Here is a 27,665-nt window from a genome sequence, read left to right on the forward strand (position 1 = left end):
CTCTTCTCAAGGAGTATCTTTGTGGCGTTCTCTGTATTTCCTGAATTTAAATGTTGGCCTGCCTTGCTAGATTGGGGAAGTACCCCTGGATAATATCCCACAGAGTGTTTTCCAACTTGGTTCCATTCTCCCCGTCACTTTCAGATACACCAATCAGACGTAGATTTGGTCTTTTCATATAGTCCCATATTTCTTGGAGGCTTTGTTTGTTTCTTTTTACTCTTTTTTCTCTAAACTTCTCTTCTCGCTTCATTTCATTCATTTGATCTTCCATCACTGATACCTTTTCTTCCAGTTGATCGAATCGGCTACTGAGGCTTGTGCATTCATCATGTAGTTCTCGTGCCTTGGTTTTCAGCTCCATCATGTCCTTTAAGGACTTCTCTGCATTGATTATTCTAGTTAGCCATTCATCTAATTTTTTTTCAAGGTTTTTAACTTCTTTGCCGTGGCTTCGAACTTCCTCCTTTAGCTCAGAGTAGTTTGATCGTCTGAAGCCTTCTTCTCTCAACTCGTCAAAGTCATTCTCCATCCAGCTTTGTTCCATTGCTGGTGAGGAGCTGCATTCCTTTGGAGGAGGAGAGGCACTCTGATTTTTAGAGTTTCCAGTTTTCCTGCCCCATCTTTGTGGTTTTGTCTACCTTTGGTCTTTGATGATGGTGACGTACAGATGGGGTTTTGGTGTGGATGTCCTGTTTGTTAGTTTTCCTTCTAACAGTCAGGACCCTCAGCTGCAGGTCTGTTGGAGTTTGCTGGAGGTCTACTCCAGACCCTGTTTGCCTGGGTATCAGCAGCGGAGGCTGCAGAACAGCGGATATTGGTGAACAGCAAATGTTGCTGCCTGATTATTCCTCTGGAAGTTTTGTCTCAGAGGAGTACACGGCCATGTGAGGTGTCAGTCTGCCCCTACTAGGGGGTGCCTCCCAGTTAGTCTAATCGGGGGTCAGGGACCCACTTGAGGAGACAGTCTGTCCGTTCTCAGATCTCCAGCTGCGTGCTGAGAGAACCACTACTCTCTTCAAAGCTGTCAGACAGGGACATTTAAGTCTGCAGAGTTTTCTGCTGCCTTTTGTTTGGCAATGCTCTGCCCCCAGAGGTGGAGTCTACAGAGGCAGGCAGGCCTCCTTGAGCTGCGGTGGGCTCCACCCAGTTTGAGCTTCCCGGCTGCTTTGTTTACCTACTCAAGCCTCGGCAATGGCAGGCACCCCTCCCCCAGCCTCGCTGCCGCCTTGCAGTTTGAACTCAGACTGCTGTGCTAGCAATGAGCGAGGCTCCGTGGGTATAGGACCCTCCGAGCCAGGCACGGGATATAATCTCCTGGTGTGGCGTTTGCTAAGACCGTTGGAAAAGCGCAGTATTAGGGTGGGAGTGACCTGATTTTCCAGGTGCCATCTGTCACCCGTTTCTTTGACTAGGAAAGGGAATTCCCTGACCCCTTACACTTCCCGGGTGAGGCAATGCCTCGCCCTGCTTTGGCTCATGCTCGGTGCACTGCACCCACTGTCCTGCACCCACTTTCCGACACTCCTCAGTGAGATGAACCCAGTACCTCAGTTGGAAATGCAGAAGTCACCCGTCTTCTGCGTCGCTCATGCTGGGAGCTGTTCCTATTCGGCCATCTTGGCTCCACCCCCATGTATGTATTATATATAAATACATGTAGTAGAGTATTGAATAAATGATGTATATTATTATTTAATTATCACAATTACCCATTTGATAGATGAGGAAATAGGCTCAAAGAGAATGTGTGACTTGCCCAATGTCTCACAGGGAGAAATTAACAAAGTGAGATATTAATCTGGGGTTGCTTGATTCTAAAGCCCCAAATCTCACCAAGACACTGCCAATATAGAAAAATAAGGACCAGATCAATTCAATGATAAACTCAACCAAACTTTTAAGAAATATATACCAATTCTACACAAACTCTACCAGAAAATAGAAGAGGGAATATTTCCCAAATCACTTCATAAAGCCAACATTACATCATTCTAAAACCAGTCAAAGGCATGACAAGAAAAGAAAACTACAGAACAAGAGCCTCATGAACACAGACACAAAAATTATTGACAAAATGTAAGTAAATCAAATCCAGTGACATATAAAAAGCATAATACATAATGATCAAGTGGGGTTTATGCCAGGAATACAAGGCTAATTTGACTTTTAAAAATCCATCAGTGTGAGTTCAATAGAAGCCTGAACACCAGCAGTATGCAATATATCCATGTAACAAACATGCACATATAGCCCCTGAATCCAAAATAATTTTCAAATAAAAATTAATTGGCCAAGCCTGGTGGCTCACACCTGTAATCCCAGCGCTTTGGGAGGCCGAGGCAGGTGGAACAACTGAGGTCAGAAGTTTGAGACCACCCTGGCCAACATGGGGATATCCCATCTCTACTAAAAATGCAAAAAAATTATCTGGGTGTGGTGGCAGGTGCCTGTAATCCCAGTTACTCAGGAGGCTGAGACAGGGGAATCACTGGAACCCGGCGGGCAGAGCTTGCAGTAAGCCAAGATCACATCACTGCACTCCAGCCTGGGCAACATGAGCGAAAATCAGTCTAAATAAATAAATAAATAAATAAATAAATAAATAAATAAATAAATAATAATTTTAAAAAATCATCAGTGTAGTTCACCAGATCAGTACATTAAAGAAGGAAAACCATGATCATCTCAACAGATGTGCAAAAAGCGTCAGCAAAATTCAACATCTATTCCTTTCAGCAAAATAAGAATAGTTGGGTATTTTCTTAACCTGATAAAGAGCATCTACCAAAAAAAGCTGTAGCTAATAATCTACTTAACCCTGAAAAACTGAGTGTTTCCCTTTTAAGTTCAAAAACAAAACATGTCCACCATTCTCAGCATTCCTAGTCAACATTCTATTGAAGATTCAGGTAAGTACAATATGTGCATATGAATTTTTGTGGGAACATAATTTTAAATTTCCCTTTGAAAAATGCCTTGGAGTGGGATTACTGGATCATATTATAAGCATGTGTTTAATTTGATTTTATAAAAACTGCCAAGTCAAAATGTTTTCCAGTTTTTTCTCTCACCAGAAATTTGAGCGTTCCAGTTGCTTCTGCATCCCCATCAGCATTTAATGTTGTCAGTTTTTGTTTAATCAGCCATTCTAATAGGTACATAGTGATATCTCAGTATAGTTTTGATTTGCATTTCCTTAGAGCTTATTTGTGTTGAACACTTTTCATGTATTTATTTGCCATCTGGGCATCTTCATTTAAAGAAATGGACCACTTCATGCATTTGCATGTCATCCTTGTGCACGGGCCATGCTAATCTCTGTATCACTCCAATTTTAGTATACATGCTGGCACAGTGAGCACCTGGGTATCTTCCTTAGTGAAATGGCTGCTCAAATTTTTGCATTTTTCATTAGGTTATTTATTTTCTTATTTTTAAGTTTTGGATACAAATTATTTGTCAGATATACAATTTGCAAATATTTCCTTTTTTTTTTTTTTTTTGAGACAGAGTCTCACTCTGTCATCCAGGCTGGAGTGCAGTGGCGCAATCTCGGCTTACTGCAAGCTCCGCCTCCTGGGTTCATGCCATTCTCCTGCCTCAGCCTCCCGAGTAGCTGGGACTACAGGTGTCCGCCACCACGCCCGGCTAATTTTTTTGTATTTTTAGTAAAGACGGGGTTTCACAGTGTTAGCCAGGATGGTCTCGATCCTGACCTCGTGATCCACCTGCCTCGGCCTCCCAAAGTGCTGGGATTACAGGCGTGAGCCACTGCGCCCGGCCTACAATTTGCAAATATTTTCTACTAGTCTGCAGCTTATCTTTTCATTCTCTTAACGTTTTTCAAAGAATAGAAGTTTTAAACTTTGACTAAGTCAAATTTATTAGTTTATTTTACATGTTATGGCTTTGATGCTGTCTAAGAAATATTTGCCTAGCCCAATACTGCAAAGACTATATCCATTTTTTTCTTCCAGAAGTTTCATAATTTAAGTTTCATATAGTGCTATGATCCAAGCTGAGCTAATTTTTATATAAGATACAATATGTAGGTTGAGGTTCTGATTTTTTTATGGGGATTTGCAACTGTTCCTGCACCATTTGTTGGAAATAGTCCCTTCCTCTCTCCGAGCACCAGATTTACATATTCATCTGGATAATCAAAACTTTCACTTAAGTGTCTCCTAGGCATCTCAAAATTAACACACTCAAAGAGAATTCTCAATCTTAACCCAAACAACTCCTCCTTGGTTTCCCATCTCAGTAAGTGGCACCATCATTGACCTAGGTACTTTCCTTAGTTCTTGTGCTAGCTGTCAACTTATTCCCTTTCAGCATCAAATCCACCCTTCATCATTGCCCTGCTTTGTTAATGGAGCTGGACCTTGATAATGTCTCTCCTTCGCCAGCTGGCTTGATGTAAAGCTTTGTCAGTAGAGGGTGTGCTGAAGAGAAACTACAGGAGAGGCTTCTCTTCTTTTCCAGGTTCTGACATGCTTCCTCTCTTTCCTTGCTCCTGTAGCACTTGTGCAGTGTGCAGGATGCTTAGTGGTGCTCACTTCCCCTAGAGGCAGCTTCGTAGACAGTTCCACTGGCACTATATCCAGCTTCCTGGCAAGTTTTGCAAGCACCCCAGCAGACAACATACCATGAAATTCTGCTGGCATCTCAGCTGTTTTCACAACACCTCCACAGGTAGATTCCCAGTAACTTCTACCGGCATTCTAGCCAGGCTCAGTCTAGTTAGTCTCAGGAGCACCCAAGCCAACAGCTTCCTACTGAGTTCTACTCATACCCCAGAAAATGGCTTCCTGAAAAACATGGTCATCATTCCAGGGGCAGCTTTCTGTTTGACAGCTTTATCCTGCAGCATTTCAATGCAATTTCTGCCATCTGTGGGCTATAGTCATACCCTCTCCAACAAAGTCTGGATCTCAGCCCTTGAGGAGAGGGGCTGTCTTAAAATTTGCTCCTTCTTTGTATAGTTTGCCTCAGCCCTAGAGGTAGTAGCTGCTTATATATGTATACCTCATTTTATTGTGCTTCACTTTATTGTACTTTGCAAATATTGCATTCTTTTTTACAAATTGAAGGTTTGTGGCAACCCTGTATCCAGCAAGCCTATGAGCACCATTTTTTCAACAGCATCTGCTCACTTTATATGTCTCTCACATTTTGGTAATTCTCATAATATTTCAAACTTTATTATTATTATATCTGTTATGGTTATCTGTGATTAGTGATCTTTGATGTTACTATTGTCATTGTTTTGGGACACTACAAACCATGCGCATATAAGACGGCAAACTTAATTGCTAAACATTGTGTGCATCCTGACTGCTACATTGACTGGCTGTTCCCCCAGCTCTCACTCTCTATGAGCCTCCTTATCCCCCTAGACACAATAATATTGAAATTAGGCCAGTTAATAACCATACATTGGCCTCCAATCATTCAAGTGAAAGGAATAGTCATACATCTCTGACTTTTGATCAAAAGCTAGAAATGATGAAGCTTAGTGAGAAAGGCATGTCCAAAGCTGAGACAGGCTGAAAGTTAGGCCTCTGGCATCAAACAGCCATGTTGTAATGGAAAAGCTCTGGAAGGAAATTAAAAGTGCTACTCAGTGGAGTGGCACTTCTGAACACACAAATGATAAGAAAGTAAAACAGCCTTATTGCTGATAAAGAGAAAGTTTAAGTGATCTGGACAGAAGGTCAAACCAACACATTCCCTTAAGCCAATGCCCAATCTGGAGCAAGGCCCTAACTCTCTTCAATTCTGTGAAGACTGAGAGAGGTGAGAAAGCTGCAGAAGAAAGTCTGGAAGCTAGCAGAGGTTGGTTCACGAGGTTTAAGGAAGAAGACATTTCCATAACATAAAAGTGCAAGGTGAAGTAGCCAATTCTGATATAGAAGCTATGGCAAGTTATCCAGATCTGGCTAAGACAGTTGATGAAGGTAGCTACACTAAGGAATAGATATCCAATGTAGACAAAATTCCCTTCTACTGAAAGAAGATGCCATCTAGGACTTTCATAGTTAGGGAGGAGAAGTCAATGCCTGGCTTCAAAGCTTCAAAGAACAGGCTGGCTCTCTTATTAAGGACTAATGCAGCTGGTAATTAAGTTGAAGCCAATGCTTATTGACCATTCTGAAAATCCTAGGGCCCTTAAGAATGTTGCTACATATACTCTGCTTGTTGTCTATAAGTGGAACAACAAAGTCTGAATGACAGTCCTTCTATTTGCAGCATGGTTTACTGAATATTTTAAGCCCATTGTTAAGAACTACTGCTTAGTAAAAAATTCCTTTCAAAATATTAGTGTTTGTTGACAATACACCTCATCACTCAAGAGCTCTGGTGGATATGTAAAAAAAGATTAATGTTATTTTCATGTCTGCTAACACAATATCCATTCTGTAGTCCATAGATCAAGGAGTCATTTCTACTTTTACTAATTCAGAGATACATTTCATAAGGCTATAGCTGCCATAGATAGTGACTCCTCTAATGGATCTGGGCAACGTTTACCTCCTGGAAAAGATTCACCATTCTAGATATCATTAAGTACATTCATGATTCATGGGAAGAGGTCAAAATATCAACATTAACAGGAGTTTGGAAGAAGTTGATTACAACCCTTATGGATGACTTTGAAGGGTTCAAGATTTCAGTGAAGAAACTCACTGCAGATGTGGTGGAAATAACAAGAGAACTAGAATTAGAATCGGAGCCTGAAGATGTGACTGAATCATTGCAATCTCACAATAAAACTTGAACGGATGAAGAGTTGCTTCTTCTGGATGAGCAAAGAAACAGGTTTCTTGGAATGGAATCCACTCCTGGGAAAGATGCTGTGAACGTTGTTAAAATGACAAGAAAAGATTTAGAATATTCCATAAATTTAATTGACATGGAGGCAGCAGGGTTTGAGAGGATTGACTCCAATTTTGAAAGAAGCTTTACTGTGGGTAAAATGCTATCAAACAGCATTTCATGCTACAGACATTTATTTTGTGAAAAGAAGAGACAATCTCTGCAGCAAACTTCACTGTTGTCTCATTTTATTAAATTGCCACAGCCACACCAAACTTGAGCAACCACCACCCTGATCAGTAAGCAGCATCAAGTCATGACCCTCCACCAGCAAAAAGATTATGACTTGCTGAAGGCTCAGATGATTGTTAGCACTTTTTAGCAACGAATTATGTTTTAATTGAGGTATGTGCCTAAATTGCTTTTTAGACATAATACACACAAATAGACTATTGCACACAAATAGACTATAACATAATGTGAACACAACGTGTACAAACTGAAAAACCAAAAAGTTTATATGACTTGCTTTATTGCAATATTTGCTGTATTGTGGTGTTCTGGAACAAAGTCCACAGTATCTCCAAGGTATACCTGTATATGCTATTCCTGTGTTCTTTATTGGGTTATCTTTAACTCTTTGTAGTTAATCTTAGTACTAGTTAAAAATCATTTTAATACATGAAACTTGTCCTGTTAAAATTACTCGGTTGTTCCTGTCTCATGAATGAGTCCTGACTGATATAGTTCCTCACTTTCCTTTACCACAGCAAAATCCTATTGTTTCTACAAAAAGTTTATATATATAGTGAATTAGGCCACCTCTCATCACCTCCACTGAAGTTGTAGTTTTGAAAAATGTTCACCAGTTCTTTAACATTCCTCCCTTCAGGAGGTGAATCTTAATTGTCCTTCTCTTATGTGTGGATGAGACTTGGTAACTCATGGCTAATGAACTGAATATAGCAGAACGGATGAGATGTTACTTCCAAGGTTCGGTTATAAAGAAACTACAGCTTCCAATTGTGTTGTGCTCTCTCTTGCTCACTGACTCTCTCTCAGAACCCAGCAACCATGTAGAATAGTAAAGGTTATTCTGCTGAAGAGGTTATATAGAGAAGAGCAGCCCTCAAGGATAAAAGGCCAAATGGAAGAGAAATGAGGCACTCACTCCAGTCAAAACCCAGAACCCATTGCCAGCCATGGTATTGAGCCTTCTTGGAAGCTGACCCTCCAGCCCCAGTCCAGGCTTCAGATGATGCATCCCTGGCTGACAGTTTGACTACAGCCTCATGAGAAACCCTAAGTCAGAATCACCCAGATAAACTGCTCCTGGACTCCTGACCCTCAGAAATGATAAGAAAATAAATATTTGTTATTTTAACCCTCCAAATTTCTGGGGAATGTGTTACCCAGCAATGGATAATGAATACAACTGCCATCATCCGTCCATGCTACTGTGACGTCTCACTGAGGCTACTGAGCTATTCCTCCCGAACAGACTCCCTCCCTCCATCTCTCCTCATGAAATATAATTCTCCACTTCAGGTCCAAAAGGATCTTTTAAATATCTAAAGTTGCCATCACGAGTGTCCATTTACTCATTTGTCACTACTTACAAGGTTAAAACTCTACAAAGACGTTTGATAAATACTAAGAATAAAAGCCAAACTACTACAAGGTCTACACGACCATACATGATCTGGGCGTTCAGAATGACTTTTCTAGTACACACTATAAAAAAAAAGTCCTCTCCTTCAATATTCTTCTATTACATTTATTTAATTCTTAACATATTTCATTATCTGAAATTACTTTATGTATTTATTTAGTATTTTTTCATTCATTTAGGGTCTGTCATTTCTAACTAGTATGAAAGATCCATGAGAGGACTTTGTATTGCTTATCCCTGTAGACTGATGGATACATATCTTTTAATACATGTATATGTACATATATAGGCATAACTATATGTATATCCATCTATCTTTCCATCCATCTATCTATCTTCTATCTATCTATCTATCTATCTATCTATCTATCTATCTATCTATCTACCTATCTATCTGTCTAACCTCTCCACCTAATAGTACTATTCACATATAGGACATATTAGAAGACTAAATCGTATAAGGTGGTGTTAACAACTATTCACAAACTAGATGGCTTGCTATCTTTCCCCTTTTATGTACTGGAGAAAATTAGTTAAAATTAAGCAATCACTATACAGAAAAAAAAAAGTATTCAATATTCACAACTTCAATATTTTTAGGGAGCCCACTATAATTTTAGCATACAATTCTTGACCAACTTATAACCAAAAATAATGCTTTGGCTTTTCTTTCTAATGCTATGTAAGAGTCATCTTATTCTTACTAAAATGCCATTTATTTTGAAAGGCAAAAACTGAGGAGCATTACAATGATTTTATTCACTCCAGTTAATTTAGATAATAGCAGACACTTGGACAGATATCCATAAAAACACAGAGAGTTGAGAGGTATTCTTAAAATGAGCAAAAACTAATATTGTTTGGACATTTGGGAGACCTGGGTGGTAACAGAAATGTTTCTATTACTCTTTCCTCATTTGTGATCATATTTGGAGAAGAAGAAAATGTTTTATTTCAGAAATTGTACTCATAAAAGCATTCATGTGCCATTACAGGTATTCAAAATGACAATAGAAAACATTTTGCATACAGCACATTATGAAAAAAAAATAGGATCCAAAGAAATTCTCCCCTTTGACAGGACAAATGATACAGAAAATGTTAAATTCTATAGCATGTTTACACTATAGCCCTACAATTACCAGCCTTCAGATGGAAAAGTTGTGTGTGCTTTGGCTGAGTCCCTAGATTCTTGCTCTCTGGTTTTCAAAAATGGCCTATAAAACTTACCTTACTGTTTGCAAAGGATTGTTTCAACAACAGCATGACAATAGGTGAAAAGCAGTTTGAAATACTGTATAGATGCAAGGTATTCCCAACCCTATCCACAGGGAACCCAGCTGTTCACAACCTTTCACCCATCACATATGTGTCAGTGACTTCCAAATTCAGCTGTAAAGTCCCAGCCTTTGTCTGGGGTTTCACCTCCAGCCCTATAAAGCACCTGCCACTTCCCACCCAAGACTGGGCTCATCATTCAGTCATCAGGGATATCCCAGTCAACCAGATGGCATCTCATCTTCCCCATTTCCTGGGCTTGAAATCTTTGCCTTTTCTCACTTGCTGCTATATTCAACCCCTCACCAGCTCTTGTATCTGCATCTTTCTTTTGATTTGTCTGATTATAGTTTAAATGTGCCAGGAGCTTAGGCTCTCACTCTTCCTGCAAAAAAGGGGATGCACTTCTTTAGAAAGCTTTTCCTTTTAATCCATCCTACAGGGTATTTGACAACGAAACAATCTACCAACACCTGCCTTCATCACATCAGGCCCCCACTTATGTACCAGAAGGTCTTCCGATTGCTATTTTTTACAAAGTTTCCAGCTGCCTTATCTGGACTTCATGATTGTCCATTTACTCATTTGTCCAACACTAAGAGCATATGTTCTAGGTGCTGAACCAGGTACTCAAGATAAGATGATAACCAGGTCAAAAACCATCCATGATGACACAGACTTTAGGGACCAGTGGTGTAGATACACATTAAATAAAGAATCACACATATAAATGTAAACTTACAGTTGTGATAAGATCATTAAAGAAGACTGACCTTCAACAAATCCCTGTCCCACTGACACTTCCTTCTCTGAAGGTCACTCAGATTCTAATCTCTGCCCCCCAACTGCTTCCTAACCTTCCCCCATATATGGGGTTAAGAGAGGGTATTATAAGGAAAACAGCTGATTGGGAAAAGCCTCTGTGACAAATGGTGACTGGGTTAACATCTGAAGGAAGGCAGACATTATCTAGGTAAGAGGAGAAAGTGAAGAAGAGACTTCCAGGCAGAGGAAATGGCATGCTCAAAGGCCCTATGGTCAAGGGAAAATGGTCTACTGAGGAACTGCGTGGCCAAATGGGGGTTATTGACAGGCTATGCAAGACCCTGCAGCCATGTTCAGGTGACTGACCTCTCTCATAATTGCCCAAATTAAAATGTCCCCTCCAACAAACTACTCATCCTTGTACAGCACTTGACCATAAGCATCTTGGTGCCTTTCAAACATGTCTTTTTCGTTACCTGAAATGGCTTCCTCTGAGAGAATAGTAGAGAGAGACTTGGTTAAGAGATGACCTCTAGAAGTAGACATGGTTCATTGCTGACACTGTCAATCTACAAACAGGGAATTTAAGCAAGTTTTCTAAACTCTCTAAACCTTTTTCACTATCTTTAAAAGGCATCAGAGTATTGAATGAGAAAATGCATATCTATCCTTTTATCACATAGTAAATGCTCAAGGGATGTAGCTATGGGTGGTTGTTCCTTTTCTTCAAAGCATAGCTAAAAATTTTTATCATCTTAAAGATGTCTTCCCTGAGTAAAATGAAAATAATTAATGACCTGACAATTTCGGGAAATGATTATTTGAAACCTCTATAATACTAGGCAATGACAGAGGAGTCTACTTGAGCACAACTGTGAAACAGGCCAGAATAAAGATCTCCAGCTCATTTACCACTCTACTCTTTCCTGCTGCCTCAGTAAATGGAATGGCTAACCTACAATGTCCACAGCAACAGGACCATCAGTAACATCCTCTCAGTGCAGGAGTCAGTGAGGGACGGGAAGGAGTTTCCCAGGATAATGCTCAGAGTTTTCCCTCAACGAACCCCTGTCTCACTGACACTTCCTCCTCTGAAGGTCATTCAGATTCTAATCTCTGCCCCTCAAACTGCTTCCTGACCTTCAGCTAAATGAAGTCCAACTACTATTAATATTAAAATTATTTCTAATTCAACAAATGGCATGCTAATTAAGTCTAAAGTAGATATTCCTAAACAAAGAGTAGGCGGCAGGTGTTTGGTGTTGGTGTGCCAGGGACCCCTGTACCATGCCACTTTCCACTTCTCCAAAGCTTCCTTCTCCAGTGCAGACTCCACCAGGGATGAGGGAGAGGGAAGGAACTTCTGTTTCTCAACAGCATCATTATTTGCTTGATTTTATTGATGGAGTTATGATGACACAGAGCTTCATGATGAAAAATTCAACACTTGATAAAAGAATGCTTTCTGAATTCTAGGTAACTCCATATCTGTGGTACATAAACATTACCTAGCTCTAAGATGTGTATCAACAGACTGGATCCTTGGGAAAACTAATGTCCTTAGCTCAGACTCAAATAGACACTGTATCTGGGGTTAATGGGAAGTAAACCACAGAGGGCTCTTCTAAAATCATTCTTCAGAATGGGGTTTGTTTCTGGTTATTCAGTTGGAATAATGGAGCTCTGTACATATAGCTCTAACATTACATAAAAGTGCCAAGGGCCAGACTCCTATAAGGATGGGAAGTCAGGGGTGCACTCTCTTTTTTTCACATATGCGCACACATGCAGGCATACACACACACACATGCACACACACACATACTGTGTGTGGCATGATACTAGTTCTTAAAAGGCCTAGGATGGAGATCAGGGCAGTACCTCTGAAGCTCCAATGGCTTTAGTAGACTTAGCTGGCTGGAAATGCTGATGACATAATCAGAAGCATAGTACTCTGTACCACTGAATTAGTCTCTACAAAAATAGGTACTACTGCCTACTCACTATGTTTCTTCAGAAAACACACTTTGGGAAAACTCACAGAGTGAAAACAACTCATCCAGACGACATCACACATCAGATTCCACCCCCTTCAGTTAAAAGCTCTCAGAGAACCAAATCATATCCCAAATACACACTAAAATGAACTCTACTGTATTAACCTTAGTCTTCGGTGTTTTTATTTGGCCTTATAAACCTCAATTATGAGGTTACTATTTCCAACTTTCACCTAAGGTCATAAAAATTTGGTGTCTCCTTCTGTGCTCACCCAGTTCACTGTCTCATCAGAAAAGGATAACAATTGTCAGGGTTGGAAACTAACCCCATCTGGCTCTAACTTTGTCGAATTCCCATTCTTATCTTTTTCTTGTAGCCAACTTAAAAATATAGAATCTGAGAAATGCAGAATGACCCACCAAAGGTGTAAGAATCTTTAAAGTACTTCAGAAATTGGATTTGACTGAATTTCCTTTGACATTTCCTTTTTATGTTATGAGACCCAATGGCAATACAAGGCAACTGTGATAACTTGACAAAAATATTCTTACTTTCTTACTAACATGAGGCCAATCTGTTGACTGAGAAAAATTCCATGGTGATCCTTCTTACAACAGTTGCTATGAGGGTATTTAACACAAGTGGCTCAATATTCTGTAGTCTTTTAAGAGTACTCAAGTCGTGTCAGCTCAAACTCTATAGACACTATATCCGGTTAACGGGAAGTAAACCACAGAACAAGTTCAAAGCAAGGCATGTCGACAGACCTACAAAAACCATGAATAGAGTCCATCATATATGTATTTGACCAGGAGGTTTTGTAAGTATATGAGTAATGTGCACATAAGGACTTTGAGTTCCCTATCAGAAATGCAATACTAACTCTTTTTTTTATATAATGACACAAATTTCTCAGCCACAGTTTAGCCAACCAATAACAATTAAAAGTCCTCTAATCCTCTGAAAAATTTAAAATACTGAAGATTCTGGCAATACAGGGTAGGTCCAATTCAATGTCTGAAACTTTGGTGGCATTCAAGAAAGTAAAATTTTTTCTTTGAGTTACTGTTTGCTAAGATGACAGTGGGAACTGCTTGGACCTTTGCCCATGTGCGCATGCAATTTCTACATTAATATTCAACTCCTCTTGTTTTAAGCACTCTTTCTAGACAATCTTGGCTATCAGAAGGAGATCTCAAACCCAGGTATCACCTCAATCTCTGCTCCCTATTTGTAAAATGGCTTCTGAATATTTCCACCTGGATGTGTTTTTGTTCATTTGCTCATTAATTCATTCATTCTTCTATTCATTTGGTGAATAAAAATATTAAGTGCTATCAGAGAAAGAAGGTCAAGAAAGTTCATTTCTCTCACCTCAAGGAGAAGATGGCAATAAGCCAGTGTTTTCAATACTTTGTGCCATGTGCTATGAGACAGGCAAGCCCAGTGTACTAAGGGGTCCCAGAAACTGGACATATCAGATGTGGATGTCAAAGATGCCCCCTGGAGGAAGCGCATTTGACCTGAGTGGCAGAAGGGAGGAAGAGCATTCCAGGCAGAGGGATGGCATGTTAGAAGTCCCAGAGGCATACAGCCACATCCTGTTCAGGAAAGTGCAATCTGTCCCAGGAGGTCAGAGCAAGGAGCAAGGAGGAGATTACGAAGAAAGGGCTTTGGGTGCCATAAGGAAACTAAACTTTATCTTAAATATTATAGGCAATTACTTGAAGGATTTTAACCAGAAGAAGAGCATAATTAGATTTTAACTAAGCATGTCCAAAACCTTACACCTAAATCTCTGCCAATGGCAGAGCAATCTTCACAAACTCAGCCTCTTTCTCAACTGTTCTCATACCTCACATCTCATTAACTGGCCGACAAATCTTTTTAATTCTAGGTCCCAAATAACTGCTGAATTGAGCCCCTTTTTCACATTCTCTTCTCCTTCTGTCATTGGAAAAACCCACATCATGACTTTCCTGGACAAAAGTGCAAGAGCCTTCAGTGGCAAACATTGTGGGCCAGCTCTCCAAAAACCATCAACCAAATCCTCTCCCTTTCTCATCTCCAACTATAGAGGCTGGAAGCTCACCTCAACAGTCTCTCTTACAATGAGGAGTAGTCACATGACTTGGTTTCAGTCAACACAATATAAGAAGGCTAATGGAGACCTTCTTTGGAAGATTTTCTTTAACAGTAAAAGCAGATGAGACAGCATTTGGAGAAGACAATTTTTTTTTCTAGATTTTACCCAAGCAGCCACCTTGCCTCCCATCTTTGAATTTGGTAATAATGTCTGGAGCTCTGGCAACCATCCTGTGACTATGAGATGACAAACATATGGAGAAGTCAATCTGCTGGGGATACTGGAAAGAAAGGACAGAAAGGCCTAGATCACCCTAAGCTGCTGAACCCACCCTGGAACTACTCACTCTCAGACCCCTTGTTGTGAGATAACTAAATATCCTCATGGTTTAAGCCATCGTTAGTCTGGCTTTTTGCACCTGAACATATCCTAACTGATACATGTCCTAAACTGAGTATCTGGGTCCAGTCTTTCCCCAGCATGCTCCCTCACCTGCCATTTTAATAATCCTTCTACCTCCCAGATCTGATCATATAATTTCTAGTCTGAAAAATCTCTGAGGATAAGTCTTTGACCAAGCTCCCCACCCACCAAGGCTCCTTCATCTCTTGCCACATCAAACACCTTGATAGTTCCTAGACACACTATACTCCTTCATGTCTCTATCCTCTGCATGTGCTATGCCTCTGCATTAACTGCTCTTACCCTTCCTGCTTAACTCTGCACCAAAAGATCCCTAAGGCACAGTTAGTCACATTTTCCCCAGTGCTTATATAGCTGTGATAGACTATATAACTATTCACTCATATTCTCTCGGAGGAGGAATGCATCCACATCCTGCTACACCTGACTTTCTTTGACCAATGAAATCTGAGTAGAAGTAACATGTGTTACTTTGGGACAGAAGTTTTAAGAGCCACGGCATGGTTTCCCATGTTCTGTCTTTCCTGCCTCTGGGATGTAGAAGCAAGTACAGAGGAAGCTCCCTTATTGACACATAATGGACATGTAGCATTAGCAGGATAGGAGTCTTGTTAAGTCAGAGGCAGACAAAATTTTCTGTAAAGACCAGATAGTAAACATTTTAGGCTTTGCCTAAATGGAACAAATATGGTCTTTGTCATGTATTCTTCCTTTTTCAACAAGCATTTAAAAATATAAAAACCAGTCTTAACTCACAGGACATATAATAATAGGTCACAACTTGATTTGTCCCACAGGCTGTATTTTGCCACTGTTTTAGGCTGTATTTTGCCACTGTTTTAAGCTGTTGAGAATTTCAGGTTACTTATTACATGTTACAGTATTTTGCATATACATTCTAGCCTTCATCACTCTGTAACAGAATTATAAGCTTCATTAAGACAGGGGTTATGTCCTTCATGCTTGCTGTGCTCACTTGTAGGATGTGTCAGCTAGGAAGGTAATTGCTGAGTGAATAACAGACGTTTTCCCCATAGGACTGTGAGCTCAGGGAGCAGAAACCATGGCTTTTCATCTTATATCTATCCCAGCAATGCCTGACCTGTGATAACATTTGAAGAGCCTTGGAGCCTTTGATAAACTTTACACTGAATCAGGTTTTTTCTTGTTGTTATCATCAGAGCAGGTGCCAAATATCACTTGAGAAACAGAAATTCACATAGCCTGTTTGTTTGCAAGATGAACATGTGACCTTCTGTGTCATGTACTAAAGTCCATGCCTGAAATCTATTAACTATAATTAAATGAGTTTTGTTTTTTCTTTTCCTTTTTTATTTGAAAGCAGAGGAGGCAAGCGGACATGGAAGGTTTACATTAAAATAAGGGTTTTTGAAAAGGTCAAGAAATCTGGAATGGTGGGTTCAAGGGTAAGTTCAGTTTTACCAAATTCCCTCAAGAGTCATTTTGTAATGTGATGGCACAATATGGACCTTATTTGGCAAGTGACAGTATTTAGGGCAAATGTTGACTGTGTCTCACCCCATGTACCACTGAATCGGGGTCTGTTTCCTTGGATGGTTTCAAAGGCTGCAAATAAATGGAGAACAAGACCTGAACATGTGTCATGGCACATGCCATCAAAAGATAGTCTTTCAAATGGAAATATATTTAGACTTAAAAATATATAGCATTTGCAAAACCAAGCATAGCAGAATATGTGAGTACTTTCTATTCTGCTTCCTCATCAAAGCAAACTCCTGCCAGCATGCTTACTATAAATAAGTGCAAACCAACCTCAATCTTAAAACATTTAATTCACCTATATTGAGAAAAATGAGAAGATGAAAATTTTAGTTTTCTGAAAGCTTTTTTTTCTGATCACATTTTCAGTACACTTTGTCTCATGCATCTTAAACATCATTTGGCAATTCTGTGTTTCTTTTCTGGAAGTAAATAAACCTTCTAGCGCAAGCAAAGAGAAAAATAAAACATAACAAGGCTGCCCCTCTGTGGTGACATGCTTTCACACCCACAGCAGCCAGCCCATTCTCACAGGCTCTACTAATTGCAGCTGCATTCCACTTCCTAAAATATGGAAATTTTATACACTTACTTTTAAATTAATGCTGCAGGGTTTTAATTTAACCATAATCCCTCTTAAAGATAAGAGACTAATGGACATATTTACATTATATCAATAGAGATAGACACTGAAAAATATTTCAGCACTATTATATTTAAAGTATTTTTTAAAGAATGACATCAAATCTCTGTGGATTATCTTTTCAGTCATAAAATCATTTTATAGTCACTGAAAATAATGGGAGTACATGAATGCCCTAACCACACAATTGCTTTAGTGAAGAGAAACTAGACTAGGCTAGGATCCCATTCTGAGCTCACTAGCTTCTGTGTCTGAAGGCTGCTAGCCTCACCAGTATGCCACCAACCTGTGCTGCTTCTTTATTTGACACTAGGAAAATACTGCTTCACTTAAAGCTAAACGGCCTTAAAATCTGGAAGTAGGCCGAGCGCGGTGGCTCACGCCTGTAATCCCAGCACTTTGGGAGGCCGAGGCGGGCGGATCATGAGGTCAACAGATCGAGACCATCCTGGCCAACATGGTGAAACCCCGTCTCTCCTAAAATACAAAAATTGGCTGGGTGTTGTGGGTTAAAAGGTGAATTGACCATATGTTTTTATCTCCTCTAAATCTCAAACCCCCTAAAATGGAAAAAAAAAAAAAAAAAAAAAAAAGCTGGGAGAGGGGATATTCTTTGGAATGTTACTAACCCACAGGAACAATGAGAATGGGCTTGGCAACAACAGAGGATGAGATATTCCAATAAATGTGTGGCAGATGGAAAGCAGGTAGAAGATGGTGTCAGACTCAGCAGAGCAAAAATGCTACCCATGCATCTGAGGAGGAAGGCTTAAGGGAGCCCATTTAACCCTGCAGAGCCCAGGGTGCCATCCAAGGGAGAAGAGAAGCAGAAAGCTCAATACATAGAATTGAGATCAAGTTCCCAGGTGCCCTCCCACATACACACAGCCAGTAAATCAAGCACCCTCTGCCACTAACAGAAAATATTCATTTTTCAAAGAAATAAACCAGCAAGGAACCAAGCACGGTAGAATTCGACGAAAATTTATAAACTGAATGTGGTTCCTTGAGCCCCGTTTGTTGACGCTGCTCAGAATGACAGCAAACAGGCGCACATACCCCCAGGCAAGATACTTGAAGAGTATTCTCTAGAAAAAACAAAGTTTAGATACTGATTTTGGAGTCTTCAAAGGAAAATTTCCATTTTATTATAATGAAGGGCACCAGATGACAGCCTCAACTGGAACTCGCAGTGCTTCTGACAGCCTTTTTCATGCCTTCCTCAAAATTATTAGAGACCAGCCCAGGGTCACAAGACAGTTGAGAAAAGCCCCCAGCCAGAAAGACAGATAATACTAAGCAGGAATAAAACATGTATATATGCTACTGTTTAGTTATATATGTTTTATATGTGTGTGTGTATATGTGTGTGTATATGTACATATGGTGTGTGTGTGTGTGTGTGTGTGTGTATATGTATATGCATATATATATATACCTTCAGAAGATGCAGAAACAATTCAGGATGCTAAAGAAAAAAAAGTCTATATTACCCTGAGAAAGAATAAAAACAGGGTTCCATAAAAATAAAACACAAAATAAGACAAAAATTTTTGAAATTAAAATATGATAATATAAATTTAATATTCAATGGAATGGAAAAGAAAGTTGAAGAAATAATTATAACAAAGAGACAAACATTAAAAACTAAGATAATTACTTTTTAAATTAGGAGATCATTTTGTACATATGGTATCTAAGACTAAAAAGATTCTAAAAATGAAAACAGAGAGAGCAGAGGGGAGAAAAGTAGTGAAGAAATAATGCAGGAAAACTTCCCAGGACTTAAATTTTAAGTCTCCAGATTGAAGAGCACACGTGGCTACAGACACATTGAATTTTAAAGACCCATCCAAAGCAGTGGATAAAGGGAACATTCTGAAATTTTCCAGAGTGATAAAATACCTCATGTATCAAGAAATAGGCCTCAGAAGAACACTGGATTTCCTGACAGCAAAACTAGATACCAGAAGACTAGAGAAATGCCTTTAAAACTTGAGAGAATAAGAACTTTCATCTGAGAATACATACACCAAGCCAAATACCAGTCCAATAAGAGGGTCCCATAAAAATATTTGTAGCAAGCGAACATCCAAAAAACATAACGCCCAAAGCACTCTTTATTAGAAAAGTACCAGAAGACTTACTTCAGCAGAGCAGGGAAGTTTACAAAGAAAAAGACACAGAACATAAGAAATGGAGTCTACAATCGGAAGACCAACAAACAATAGTTCCATGATAATGGCTGTGCAGCAGGCCTAAAGTGAAACCCAGAGTACACTGCAACAAGCAGCTGCAGGAATGAGGAGTCCAGGAAAACAAAAGTGGGAGTACTTATCATGTTTGACCATGTGGAAAATAGTACTGAGAGGGTTTTATAATTCTTCTGGAAGATTTGGAGAAAAGTAAATAATAGGTACAAAGAAAACTGGGAACACAAACAAAAAAGAAGGCAATCATTAACTCTGAGAAAAACAAAACTACCTATGAGAAAGGATAGGTAATCAACATCGAACAATAATTACACAGCAGCAATAATGTAAACATTGAATATTGACTTAACATAAAATTCTGCTGTAACTGTACTGGCAGGATAGTAGATGGGGAAGAAGAAGAAAGAAAACTAAATTCTCACCCATTACAATAGAAAATCAAATACCATAAGAAAAAGAATAAAAAGTGGAGACGTGGCCATTTTGTGGGAACAGAACTAAAGTTTCAAAGGGATGGGGCATAAAACTGTTTTTCTCTATAAGCTTTTTATTTTATAAACTATTTTGATGCGTGATAATGATTAAAGAAAGTAAATATAAGTTTAGAAAAAAATAAACCAGGCTACTGCAATAAAAGATTAAGCTTAGTACATTTAAATGTAATGAAAGGAAATGATTACAGCTAATCTTCATAGGAAAATAAAATGCAGAGTTGGCTATTACTCAGAAAATATGGCCTGAACAGCCATTTAAGGAGGATTAAACATATTTGTTCTGTTGTATATATACATAAATGTGTTATATATATATATATATATATACATAACTGTGTTATATATATATACATAACTGTGTTATATATATATACATAACTGTGTTATATATATATACATAACTGTGTTATATATATACATAACTGTGTTATATATATACATAACTGTGTTATATATATACATAACTGTGTTATATATATATACATAACTGTGTTATATATATACATAACTGTGTTATATATATATACTATTTGTTATAAAATTAAAACACACAATTTATAATAATCCTTATTAACTTATAAATTGACATTCCAGCAAATAAATAAATTATAAAAAATTTTCAGGAAATATAAGTTCAATTTATAAAAAGAGAAAACATAAAAAGCCTAAGGTAAACAAAGTTATAATTAATTTCAAATGATTAAGCAAATGTGTGTCCAAGATAAAGATTCACAGTTATTTTCTCTTTTTTTATTTCACAATGCATTGGCTTCGAAATATTTCCAAGTAGCTTTGTATTGAAGGTTATCTAGAGTTTCTGTTGTAGGTTGTTTTTTATTTTTCAACAAATATATTAATATGATGTTCTACTTACGAAAATTTGGACAGTAAATCTTATCATCATTCCTGAACACATGTTGTTATAGCAAATGTGTACATTTGGAATTGCCTTCATGGGTACTGAAATTCTAAAACCAAGGGACTCAGCTTTAGATGCTGTCATATGTTGTCATATGACATCAATGATGTCTCCACATCAATAACATTGATGGCAGTAGTCTCCAGCACTGAGTTTCTAAGGCAACCCAATGGGAGTAGGGGCAGCAAAAATATTAAGACCTCTATTTTTATTTTTAAATGTATTCCTTTATGTTTTATTTCTGTAGATTTTGTTATTTACTACAGAATCTTTGTTCAGTAATATATATGTATAGAATTTATACATAAGCCTATGTATATTGGCAGTGTATTCTCAAAAAATTTTTATTGCTGGGATGTTACGGTGAAAAACATTTGGAGACTGCTGGTTTAGGAAGGTGTCTCCCTAATTGTAGTTAGTGAACCATTAAAGTCCATGAGGGTAACACAAGTGTTCATGAGGCAGGCAGGAGAAAGCTAATATGTCATCCTAAGCTAAAAACTTAATTTTAAGTTATGAGTAAGAATTCAACAACTGGGAGGAGAAAGTAAGCCTTCTCATTTGCGAAATTTTATCCAACATCAGGCCTACCTGCTACAGATGAAGTAAATTGTGATAAAAACTCTATGTTGAAATATACAAATGGCTAGAGGATTTATAGCCCTCCATATGTACATTTGTCACTCATAAGGCACAGACTATGGTAAAATGGTTCAAAACAATGTGCTCATGTGTTGGTCATAAAAGCTTTTGTTGATGAGGCAGTGTTCTACAGTAAGAAAAAACCTGAAAACCATTGATTTTGGAATTAAATACTTAAGTATTCTAAGAGTACTTCATTCCCTCATATGGGCAAAATATAGCTCAGTCATTTAGAACTATACTAGTCACTGTCCAACATGGTAGCCACTTATCACATAGGGATGTCTAAATTAAAATTTAGTAAAATTTGGCCGGGCATTGGGGCTCACACCTGCAATCCCAGCACTTTGGGAGGACGAGGAGGGTGGATCACACAAGGCCAGGAGTTTGAGACCAGCCTGGCCAACATGGTGAAACCCTGTCTCTACTAAAAATACAAAATTAGGTGGGCATGGTGGCGGGTGCCCATAATCCCAGCTATTCAGGATGCTGAGGTGCAAGAATCACTTGAAACCCGGGAGGTGGAGGTTGCAGTGAGCTGAGATCGTACCACTGCACTCCAGCCTGGGTGACAGAGCAAGACTCTGTCTCGAAGAAAAAAAAATTAATTAAAATTTAAGATGTATTTCCTCAGTCACACTAATCACATTTCAAGTGCTCAATAGCCACATGTGGCTAGTGGCTACTGTATTGGACAGCATAGACAAAGAACATTCCCATGAGTGCCAAAAGTTCTACTGGACACTACTACTCTAGGATAGTATTCAGGAATTCTTCAGTTAAAAGTTTAAAAATCTTTATACTTACTAACGGTTACTTTGTCCTTATCCCCCAACATAATGTTGTTTGGTGTCAGATCTCTATGGACAATCCTCTTCTCCTTGTGTAAGTATCGAAGAGCTAAGCACAGCTTGAAACAATGAATAGAAAACAAATTTTATTTCCCCCAACATACATATAGCCAAAGATGACTACTGCACGTCTTTAAGAAGCCAGCTCAGAACATTACTGTTTTAAGAAAAATTTAATGAAGATAAAAGCATACCTGTATAAATATTTTCCATAGTCTTTCTTCAGTAAAATGGTGATGTTTTTCCTTCAAAGAACTGAAATGCTCTCCAAGCGGGGCTCCTTCTATCAGCTCCATAACTATGTACAACCTATCATCTATATAAATATCACAAAAGGTCACAGAAATTTAAACTCAATACAGGCATCTTGAAAAACTTTACGAATGAGAGTTCAAGCTTCCCAGTGTCTGTGCGGGACACTAACACTAAAGAATTAGGGATGATGTGCTAAAATATGGATCCACTCAGCCCTGGAAGAGGTGGAGGTGAGGGGGTCTTAGGGAAACTGGGGCCCAGCCACAGTTATCTTCTGGCTACAGACAACCCCTTAGCATAAGTTTACACTGGCAAATGTATCATTTTCTATGTATGCCAGGATGTGGAATGATTGAAAGGTGCCACAGAGAACAAGTAAATGATCTCCAGTCATGGAGGATTCCCTGAAGAAACCGTAAGCCCATCCTTCCTCCCAGTAGTCTAAAATTTACGCTCAAATCAAGTCAGACATTCAGAAAATTGCATTTTCAACTGTATTGTTTCATAGTCTGATAGATTTACCTTACAGAATTTTACACTGGAATAATGCCATGGTCTTGCAATGACACAGTTGAAAATAACACACATGATAGAAATTTCTGTTATGTCTTTCAAAAGCAAAAAAAAAAAAACAAACAAACAAACAAAAAAAAACAAAACTGGACTTCTCCAGGTTTTATCTTACAGATACAGAGAACTTCATGACTGATTGTGTTTGTCTTTTTGCTTTGGATGCCAAAAAACAAAGGAGCAAATTCTACTTCCTCCTCTAAAACCAATAGGGTTTATTAACAATGGGATGTGATATGTGTCTTTTGAAACCTTGGGATGTATACAAAATATGTGTGTAGAAAATGTTGACAAAAATGGAATCATGTTCTGTAATTTATGCTTTTTTTCATTAAGCAGCCTTATATTTCAGTACACACAGATCCATACCATTCTTTCTGCTGGTTGTATGGTATTGCACAATATGGGTATACCATAATTTATTTAATCATTTTCCTACAGATAGACATTTATATTGTTTCCAATTTTTCATAATTTCAAGAAATATTCATTTATGTACCAATACTACCTCTAGCTTTATTTTTAATTTTCTCATCCTTCATTCCTCTTTATTGCAATTTCCTAATCTATTTTATCATATTTTATGTATTTTTAAGCCATTTCCAATTCTTTTTTTTTTTTTTTTTTTTTTTTGAGATGGAGTCTCACTCTGTTGCCCAGGCTGGACTGCAGTGGCGCGATCTTGGCTCACTGCACGCTCTGCCTCTGGGGTTCACGCCATTCTCCTGCCTCAGTCTCCCAAGTAGCTGGGACTACAGGCGCCCGCCACGACGCCCGGCTAATTTTTTTGTATTTTTAGTAGAGACGGGGTTTCACCGTGTTAGCCAGGATGGTCTCGATTTCCTGACCTCGTGATCGGCCCATCTCAGCCTCCCAAAGTGGTGGGATTACAAGTGTGAGCCACCGCGCCCAGCCTTTTTTTTTCTTTCTGAGGCAGAGTCTTGCTCTGTGGCAAAGCTGAAGTGCAGTGGCGCGATCTTGGCTCAGTGCAACCTCTGCCTCCAGGGTTCAAGCAATTCTCCTGCCTCAGCTTCCCAAGTAGGTGGGATTACAGGCGCCTGCCACCACGCCCAGCTTTTTTTTTTTTTTTTTTTTTTTAAGTAGAGACAGGGTTTCACCATGTTGGCCAGGCTGGTTTCGAGCCCCTGACCTCAAGTGATTCGCCAGCCTCGGCCTCCCAAAATGCTAGGATCATAGGCGTGAGCCACCGTGCCCGGCCGCCATTTCCAGTTCTTTTTGGAAGCTGTCAGGTAGTAAAAAACGTTTTTGTTTTTTATATTAAGACAATTTATATCATTTCAGTACAAGTCTGAAGCCAACCTTGATTTTTTTGAAGGGATATACACTAAATTATAGAAAATTATTTTAATATCAAGAACAAATGGCTAAGGGGACAGGATTTACTGCATGAGTTTTAGCACTGAGTTTTTCTGAGTCATCTAGGGGAAGGGAGATGGGTAAAATTGTAACAAATGGCAAAATACACACACAAAAGGTTTTCTTAAATAACAATAGCACTGAAAAAGAGGTAGTCCGGAAGCCCCAGTCATTGCCTTATGTCTCTTTAAATCATTCTTCAAGTGGAGATTTATTTCGACATTTCATATGTGACACATATCATTAAAGCTTAGCAATACTTGTATTATTTCTGTCATAGGCCCTACTTAAAAAAAAAAAAAAAAAAAGAGTGGCTGAGTTTAGCTTTATCTGTTTTGGTTCTAGTTCAGCATTCCATCATACCTGCAGAAAGCAAGCCTGGCTGCCAGAATCAGTCTGGGCTCCATCGCCACCTTTGTGGCATTTACCTGAACTTCAGGTAAAAGAAATCTCAAAGACCTAGCTCTCTCCAACTTATTTTGGGGATGGAAAATGACACCTGAGTCAACAAAAACAACTTTCTTTTCTTAAGGAAACCACCATCCATTAGTTTTCTTTTTCCTTGATCCTATTAAGTGATTTTTTTGTATATGAGAATAGCAATAACTATTTTGGTTTGTTCATGCGTTTTTCACACAGGCAGCTAAGTATTTTATAACTATCTTCAGGTGACTGACTAGGTCACTGTTTCACTAGTCAAGAAAGTGATGCTTAAGACCATCTACTGTCATATTAACAAAAAAAGGTCAATAAAATAGTTGATTAGGTTTCTTTTGTGACATTCTGATACAAAAATATATGTGACAAAAATGTTTCCTTATTTAGAAATATCATGAAAACTCATACTTACTTTCCAGAAATGTTTTGTAATAACGTACAATGTTGGGATGATAAAGCTATAAGAAAATAAATAACAAACATGTATTGCACTGCTTCAAAATACAAGTTTTTTCACTGACTACTTAGTTGGACTTCATATTTGAAAACTACAAAGAAATTATATTTATTTACAAAACTAAGCATTTCAAGATATCATCGAACTGAGATTGTTGTGATTTTTAAAAACTTGTTGCTTATAAACTGATCTGAAAATAGCAATCCTCTATAGCTTTATTAAATAAAATTAAAAACGTTCTATCACCTAACTTTACTATCGAACTTAACCAAGAGAACTATAGAGGTAGAAGGAACCTTAAGAATTCCTTTAGCACACCTTGTCACAACCCGACACACAGACTGTATAAAGGAGAAAAGTGAAATGCGGTAACTTCTGTTGACTACAAATATTCATTGTTCTTTACCTCTCTCTACCATCTAAATATTTATGGAAAGTTTGTGCCTATTTACACTATTTCTGTCTTTCTATGCTCTCCAAAATGATTAGTAGAAAATAACATAATCTAAGAGTCGACTCAGTTTAAGTCATAATAACAGTTGACAAGGACTTCCTACTTAACCAAGCTTTAGTCAGGCTCCTCTGAGTCCTCTTCGTGACTAGGCCTCATCCTTGGTCTGTCAGTTTTAGCAACTTATATCCTGCTAAGTCAGTTTATGGAAAAATTTCCCACCCTTGACATCCAATTAAGTTTCTCATCCACTCACCCTTGATATCTAACCAAGTTCCTCTTAGTAAACTTCCATCCACTGACCCTCCCTCACCCTGACCATTGGCTCTGAGTCCCCAGCTGTCCAGTCCTCGAATTCAGAGTTGGGTTCAATCTCTCTCCTCTATTACAATAGTTTGACTTCTATTGCAATAGTATTGAATAAAGTCTTCCTCACCGTTTTTAAAAAATGGTGCAATTTCTCTTTGATATAAGTTAAGAATGTTAGTGGAATTTCTAATTTTTTAATTAAAAAAGATCATTTTCTAGAAGAATGCTAATAATTTTGTAGTTTTTGCTTATAATTTGAGTTTCTAGATAAAATTTGTCTTAGAACAGTCACCATCACATCAACAAATGGCTTGCTTGCATCTCTTTTTGGTCTTTCTGCACGTCTTTTTGAAGGGAGATTGCTAGCTGTCCACCAAAAACCTGCTGTCCCATTGCAATACAGTTGAAGCTGGACATGGCTTCCCAGTTAGAGAAGATTTCTCAGCCTCCCTTGAAGCTGGGGGTGAGGCTACCACTCAGTTCTGACCTGTGGAATATGAGAGGAAGCATGTGTGCTTCCTGTGTGAACTCTAAACCTTGGGAATAGCCCTCCATGATCCTCCTCATCTCACCTTGGATGTGAGCATGGCTATGGCAGTTTCAACCACACAGATGAAGACAGTGCACTAGAAGGTAACAGCACAAGAAGAGAGAAAAAAGCCTGCATCCCCAAATGATCGCATGGAGCAGAGAACACCTTCAACCTGGTTTACTCACTTTGGGATTGTTCCGTGAAAGAGAAATAACCCACTGTACTGTGAGTCCTCTTTCTAAGCACCTGCATTTGGGATCCTCTTTGTTAATGCAGGTTAATCTTAATGTACTCTCCATTCTAGCCCCATTTGTTTTGCTTCTGCCTGCCACTACCTCCTCCTTTAAGGACTCAATGTTATCATCCTTTCCATCAGTTTGATCCTCTAGTGAGAGGGCAATTTTGAGTTACCTCAAAGCCCAAGCATATGCTTCCTATCTGACCCTAGTTTGACAGTTTCTTTTCTTAGGAAATGTGCTAAAACAAATAATCTACTGCATCAACTAGCAAGTGGCCAGCAGATCGTAAGCAATATGTGACCAGGTAACCAACCAGAACCATATTCTGGACCTGGCTCACCCACAAGGACTAAAACCAAATTTGGGTCCAGATGAAAACACTGGACTGGCTTAGGTCAAAAGCCCTGTTCTAGCCTTGTGCTACAATGAAAGAGCACACTGTGGAAGGCTAGATGACCATACAAACACATGAACAAACTACACATGAACAAACTTTTTAAAGTCTAGTCTATTAGTATATAAAATCAACTATAAAATAAACAATTAATGATAATATTTACTATAATGTACACACTGGAGTAGAACTATCGATTTTTATGAACAAAGGTCTCCTTGTTTATGGAATTTGTTACATCCCAACACAGATGCTATGCAAATGTGACCAGTGGAGGACAAAAGCAGCAAAGCTGATAGTGCACCACAGGAATTAT

At 38.6% G+C, this 27,665-nt stretch overlaps 1 protein-coding gene and 1 pseudogene across 30 annotated transcripts in view; both read right to left on the reverse strand.

Moving 5' to 3' along the window:
* Positions 1 to 27,665, reverse strand: part of NEK10 (NIMA related kinase 10) — a 262,900-nt gene that overhangs the window by 155,835 nt on the left and 79,400 nt on the right. For 29 of the 30 annotated variants that reach the window (XR_001740034.2, NM_001394969.1, XM_047447506.1 and 26 more), the window contains 3 exons: positions 25,380 to 25,425; positions 22,522 to 22,643; positions 22,284 to 22,386 (listed from right to left, as the gene is read on the reverse strand). Coding sequence is in view for 29 of the 30 variants with exons in the window: in NM_001394969.1 (NP_001381898.1) it covers positions 22,284 to 22,386; positions 22,522 to 22,643; positions 25,380 to 25,425 (271 nt within the window). In the remaining variant the exon portion in view is untranslated. Of the gene's footprint in view, positions 1 to 1,658; positions 16,632 to 22,283; positions 22,387 to 22,521; positions 22,644 to 25,379; positions 25,426 to 27,665 lie in introns of those variants that run through there. The other variant, XM_017005774.3, reaches the window with a different exon arrangement.
* RNU6-342P (RNA, U6 small nuclear 342, pseudogene) lies at positions 3,262 to 3,365 on the reverse strand (annotated as a pseudogene).

This window comes from Homo sapiens, chromosome 3, assembly GCF_000001405.40.
Source record: "Homo sapiens chromosome 3, GRCh38.p14 Primary Assembly".
Taxonomy (NCBI): Eukaryota; Metazoa; Chordata; class Mammalia; order Primates; family Hominidae; genus Homo; species Homo sapiens.